The sequence below is a fragment of the Homo sapiens genome, chromosome 10 (genome assembly GCF_000001405.40).
Source record: "Homo sapiens chromosome 10, GRCh38.p14 Primary Assembly".
NCBI classification, from domain to species: Eukaryota; Metazoa; Chordata; class Mammalia; order Primates; family Hominidae; genus Homo; species Homo sapiens.
In genome coordinates, this window is record NC_000010.11 from 13,524,775 (window position 1) to 13,530,774 (window position 6,000).

General features: G+C 50.5%; 1 protein-coding gene and 1 long non-coding RNA gene across 44 annotated transcripts in view; one reads left to right on the plus strand and one right to left on the minus strand.

The window, feature by feature from the left end:
• BEND7 (BEN domain containing 7) overlaps positions 1–4,860 on the minus strand; it is a 91,154-nt gene extending 86,294 nt beyond the window's left edge. For 35 of the 43 annotated variants that reach the window (XR_930476.3, XR_002956970.2, XR_002956969.2 and 32 more), the window contains exons 1-2: positions 3,699–4,240; positions 1,364–1,447 (exon numbers count right to left, since the gene is read on the minus strand). Coding sequence is in view for 30 of the 43 variants with exons in the window: in XM_011519392.3 (XP_011517694.1) it covers positions 1,364–1,447; positions 3,699–3,759 (145 nt within the window). In the remaining 13 variants the exon portion in view is untranslated. Of the gene's footprint in view, positions 1–1,363; positions 1,448–2,657; positions 3,030–3,050; positions 3,409–3,698; positions 4,241–4,657 lie in introns of those variants that run through there. The other 8 variants (XM_011519390.3, XM_047424790.1, XM_047424789.1 and 5 more) reach the window with 5 other exon arrangements.
• On the plus strand, positions 3,830–5,490 carry BEND7-DT (BEND7 divergent transcript). The gene is made up of 2 exons (XR_930674.3): positions 3,830–3,878; positions 5,246–5,490. It is a non-coding gene; the product is annotated as a BEND7 divergent transcript (long non-coding RNA).
• The last annotated feature ends 510 nt before the right edge of the window (positions 5,491–6,000 follow it).

Here is a 6,000-nt window from a genome sequence, read left to right on the forward strand (position 1 = left end):
TCTTAACAGTAAACAGGTACTGGGAGCAGTGCTGGCCCCAGTGATATTCTTTCCCTCAGCAGAAAGATCTATGTGCTATCAATGATCGCTCATGTAAGAAATGCTGACATTTCCCTCCTATTTTTCCTCTTAAAGTATATATTAATATTTGACTTCTTCCCAATGCATCCCGACCCACCCTTTCTATCCCTCAAAGCAAAACCAGAGAGATCCTGGCGAGAGCTTCGTTTGAAGGCTGACCCACACCGGGTCTGAGCAGCAGTCCTGCTACCTGAAGTCCCCCTTGATGGGGTAATTGTGGCTTTGCTTGTAATCGTTCTCGCTCTGACCTCTCTCATGTTCTGCTTCCTTGCTGTGCAGTGCTGTGCCCTCACCCTGCTACCTGGGATTGCAGAGGTCCAAGATGGACAAGGTTGAGGCCCAACGCCACCATCTACTCTCCACCCTGACCTTATGGGTACTTCACTCTTAGAGGCAAAATCTTACGTGGTTTCATTTTTGGCTGATTGTGTGCAAATAAAAAACTGCACATCCAAAGTCTTTCCTGTACAGTATTTGCACCAACACTGCACATGGAAAAGGTGGCAATGTTTGTGGCTACCTACCCACCCATCATGCAGCTACACTTGCTGGAAAGTCTCAGAAATGCTGTTTTAGCTCTGCTCATCCCTGACGTGAGCTGGGAACAAGGATGGTAAGAGGAAAGCATGCTGTTCCCCCTGTCCCAAAATGCTGGTGTGAAAGGAGCACAAAGTCAGGAAAATGAGGAGCTGCTTGATGATAACTAGCACTATCAAGAGCTGGTTAGGCAGACAGTCACACTTTTATTTTCCTTATGCTTTTTGACTGTAGATTTAATTTAATTTTGTCATGGCAGGATTAGCAACTGGGCCACAGAGGTGAAGGGACATTATAAGACAGCACATTAATCCTCTATCCCACCCAAGGCAGAAGCAAAACCAAACAAATAGCAGCTTCCTGGAAATTGAATTTCTGTTATCCAGATGTCAAAGATGTAATACCCCAATTACACAAACTATTGCCAGTGAAGCATGCCAACGAATATGCAATGTAAATGGGGTGAGCGCAGAGCCACAAAACTGCACAGTCAGCATCTGGCTCTGTGAGTGAGTGATAATTAGCACTGTGTGTAGACACTAATAAACATTTATGTCTGAAATTACAACTTTTAGCAATGTTAATAAGGGATATATTGGCAATCTGTAAAATAAAAGGTCTTGAAAAGAATGTCATACATTAAGCAATGGCAGACATTTCCCGTTCCTGAACAATTTCCTTTTTTCCCCCTAATTGCAAATGGTCACGATGTTTTGCTGAGGTATTAATTGACATAGGAACCTACCTAAAAAAATGGGCTGTGTCTCTTTGGCCTCCCCATTAACATCGTTGCTGAATTCTGGGATCTTATACACCTCGTGGTGATAATCTGGCATGAGAAAACAACCAAAAATTAGAATCCTAAGGACCTCAAGATAGGAATAAGCAGTCAAGTCTAGAATCTCATTCTATTTAGTTTGTATACTCTATAATTTATAAATAAACTTTTTGAGAACTGAAATAATCACAGAATTTGTAGTCAATAATAATTCCTAAAACTTTGCTTATTCTGGAGTACGCAAACTTGAAAGATTACTTTGGCTTTAGAAGACAGCTTTGCTTGATCACACCATGTTCACGGTAAATTGTACCCACAGATGCCAATTTTTAGGCTTTTTTTCTTTGAGGTGGCAAGTATGTTTGCCCAATCATAGAGCAGGGGAGGTTTCCAAATTTCTCTTCACAACCCATTTTCACCAGCATATCAACAGTATGCTTTAAAGTTTAGCCAGCACTCTAGTTTTCTCAGTTTACCCAGAAAATCTCAGCCTTTAAGCAGCTTAAAGGCAAGCACACATGAAAAATACTGATTTGTTATTTCAAATGTAGTATGATTTGGATAAGAAAGCAAGATTTTCATCTTTCACACAAGTGACTCTTTCGCATTCAGCTACTGCACTTTATTTAATATGCAAGTTTATTTTCTAAAACTGCACCTGCAGAGAAAGAGAAGAATCAGACCTATAATTAAAAGAAAAAGAAAAAAGGAAAAAGGAAAAACTTGCTACGTCAGTCAAAGTTTCAAATACAGTATTTTACAAGCTTCTCTATGGAGGCTACTGCATTTTTGCTTCTATTTTTGAAAAGCAGGGTCACTAAGGCATGAAAATAGAGGTTCCTCCTTAACACCTAGTCCCCTTTCTCTGGCCTTAGACCTCACAGGACAAAGTCAACAAAACTACTCTCACTTTTAAGATAAAGCAGTTAAGTTCTCTGAGGTCATCAATAAGAAAGCAGCTTACATTCCTGAATGAATCAGATAGCACCAACAGGGCAATCACCCAGACAGAGACTTTTAAAAGTCCAAGTAACTGAGTAATCAACACGGATGTGGAAAAAAAAATTTACTCAGAAAGTGGGAAGAGCCAAGTATTTTGAATGCGTGAAACTATTTCAGGCCTCTTTCATTAAACAGTATCCAAACTAAATTAGGGGAGGCAGATAAGAATGGATCTTCAAAATGCCTATAATCAAAGCATTTTCAGATGAACCAAATCCACATCTTAGCTAGCTTAGCTCAGTTTGAAAAATTCGATTACTTGCAATTGTCCACGATTTTTTCACTAATTTTCATCAGTTTACACGTGACTTCTGCAGGTTGTTGGAGTTTCTACCCTGATGCCAATGCTAGAGAAAACGACAGAGGAAAAGTGGACAGGTTGGGGTTTGGCTTTGACCTCAACTTGATTAAAAGACGACATTTAAACAGAGCGGGTCTAAACTCAATATGAGGACTTGTGACATTACAATGAAAAAAGTCACCTGCCCCTAATTAAAGATGACAATGCATTTTGAGATATATTTTCACGATGGCTCTTGAGTTATCATTTTTTTAAAAAAAAAAGTCAAATCAGGAAGATAAAGACTCTTAACAAGTAACTGAACACAGACAAGACTGTATTCCACTTTCCCCTCCCTGACAAAATACAAACCCTAGAGTGTGGTGTACACCTGTTAATTCGTCAGAAACTAGATGGATTTCTTTTCTTTCTTTTCTTTTTTCTTTTTTTTAAAGGATGCTTATCTGACTGCTATATGATCTAGTCTAAAACACCTTTCCAACCCAAATCAGCTAGCTAGAGATGTTGGATGTCAACAATTCCGCCTTGGGCTTGGACACGGCGTGAGCTTCTTTCTCCTTCTTAAAAAGAACAACAACGGTCATCCTTTTTCCTCCTTCTCTTGGCGGGGGGAAGGGGGAAGACCCCAGAAAACAAAAACAGCAAATCTCAGGTCCGAGGGTCCACGCTCGGCCTGATGGCCAGGCAGGTCCGCGGCCGCCCCAGCCCTGCCCCGGAGGCGCCCCGAGGAGGGCTCGGGCCCCCCGGTGTCATTGTTTGCTAATTTCCTGAGCTGCCCTCCGACTTGTTTACGTTAAATAACATCCCTGCTCCCCCCGCACAACTTTCCCCGCCGCCCGGCGTGTGCGGCCGCGGCCCTGCCTGCCAGCCCGGCGGAGGCACCGGGGGACCGGGAAGGACCGGGGGCTCCGGGAGGGCGCGCCCCCCAGCGTGGACCCCCGCGGGCGGCCGAGGGCGCGGCGCCCGCTGCCTGCCCCCGCCGCCCCGGCGGCCGCTTACCTCGGCTCACCAGTTTGAAGCTCTGGGATTTCCTGCTTCTTTTCCTCTCGGAGAACTCCATGGTGCGGGGAAGGCGGCGGCGGGGGCTGAGGAGGCGGCGGCAGCGGCGGCAGCGGCAGCGGCGGCAGCGGCAGCGGCGGCGCGGGCTCGTGTCACCGCGGCGGAGCCGCCGGGACCAAGGTCCGCGCCTGGAGTCGGCGAGGGGAGGCCGCGGGACGGGAGGAACCACCGCGAGCCGGCTCGGGGCTGCAGGCGCGGGGCCCGGCGGCGTGGGCTCCCGGGCGAAGTTGCCCCCGCGCGGCGCCGCCTCCCGGTGCCCTAGGCGCCCCCGCGGCCCCCGCTCATGCCGGCCCGCGGGTTCCAGACGCCGCCCGCCGCAGCCCAACTTTCCGTTGGGAGCGGGCCGGGCCGGGGCGCGGCGGCGGCGGCGGAGGCGGGGGGCGGCTCGGGGCGGCCGGCCCGCCTGGGCTCAGCCTGCGGTCGCGGCGGCGGCGGCGGCGGCCCCGAAGACGCGGCGGGCGGGCTGCGGGGAGGGCGGCGGCGGGTGCAGAGCCGGCCGGGGCGCTGACCGCCCCCGCGGGAGGAGGGGCGCCGGCGGAGGGGGCGGTGCCGCTGGGACCCCAGGGCCACCTGCTGGCGGAGCCCGGCCGCCGCCATCCCCGGGGGCCGCCGCCGGCCTGGCCGCGCGGCGCCCCGAGGAGGCGCGGAGGCCGCGGCGCAGCGCCCTGGCCCGGGCCCGGCCGGCCTGCCTGCCCCCGGGGACGACGCCGCCGCCCGGGCCTCCGCTCGCAGACCCCGCTCGCTGGCCTCCCTCCGCCGCTTGCTGGGCCGAGCTAACTCCGTGCACCTCGCCGTGGGGGCGCGGACCGCCCCGACAACCACCTCCCCGCCCTCACATCCCGGGCGCCCCGGGGCCCGACGCGCTGATTTTAAGCAAGTTTTAGGGGGAAAAAACTTACCCATTTGCGCTCTCTCTAGAAGGACAGAGAGGAGGTTTTAGAATATTGTGGAGAAGAATATAGTAGAGAGCTCCCATTCCCTAACCCAGGCTGGGCGGATTGTGGAAAGAGCCGAGTCACATTCAAGGAGAGCACTTGGAATGGGGGGCTTGGTGGCCCTGGGGACTCTCAGGAGGCCATGGTCAAGGCAGGTGCAGGGCACTATGCTTCTCCACGTCATATGTCGGAATCATGGACCCAAACACAAAGCGCTTAGTAGTTATGTGTAATATTCTTTTCGGGGGATCAGAGAGCGCACTTCAGGCACCATTTCTTTCTCACATCTTTCGAGTGGGCCAGGAAAAGAATTTCACACTACCTGGGAATGGTAGGACAGGAACATGACGGGACATGCGTGAAAGTATCTGCCAAACCCAACCAGGAAGAGGGTAAAGAGTCGGGGGATGGGGGGGCTACCTCTCCGGCACGGGACAAAGGCCAGTGGCCCCAAAAGAGTAGAGAGGAAAAAGGGGAGGTTGACAAATGTGATGAGTGTCACGTGGGTCTCACCCAAATGAGGCAGCCGCTGAGGAACCGCTCTTATTTCAGGGACACAGAGTAGGACAACTGCCGAGGAAGGGGGACATTGAGGCAGCTTGCAGAAACACACATGGAGAAACAGAACCAAAGAGCAGGGTAACCAGCAAACCAGGCAGTGGAGGCAGGGATGGGTACCCATCCCGAGATCTTGGGTGATACCAAAGGCGGCACATCCGGAAGGCTGGTTATACCTAGCGTGGAGGGGAGAGGGAGAACTGTTTCTTCCGTTCAATAAAGCAAACCCTTCAACAAGAGGTTCTTAACCTTTTTTAGTCACTGTTTCCTTTGAGATTGTGTTCAAAGCTCAAGGGCCCTTTTTCCCAGAAAATATGTATGGGACATATAAAATTTAGTATAGATTTATTGGAGTTCTTAGACGCGCTTTGCTGCTCTCAGAAAATTAGTGGTAACAGTGATTAAAGCAACTACCCTATTTGGGTTTCTTCCTTCCCTGCCACCCCTTTCTTTAAAATCAGGCATTAAAATCTGAAGATGTTTTGGATTTTTTTTTATTTTTTATTTTTTGAGACAGAGTCTCATTCTGTCGCCCAGGATGGAGTGCAGTGGTGCGATCTCAGCTTACTGCAACCTCCACCTCCCGGGTTCAAGCGATTTTCCTGCCTCAGCCTCCCAAGTAGCTAGGATTACAGGCATGGGCCACCACGCCCAGCTAATTTTTTGTATTTTAGTAGAGATGGGGTTTCGCCATGTTGGCCAGGCTGGTTTCAAACTCCTGACCTCAAGTGATCAGCCCGCCTAGGCCT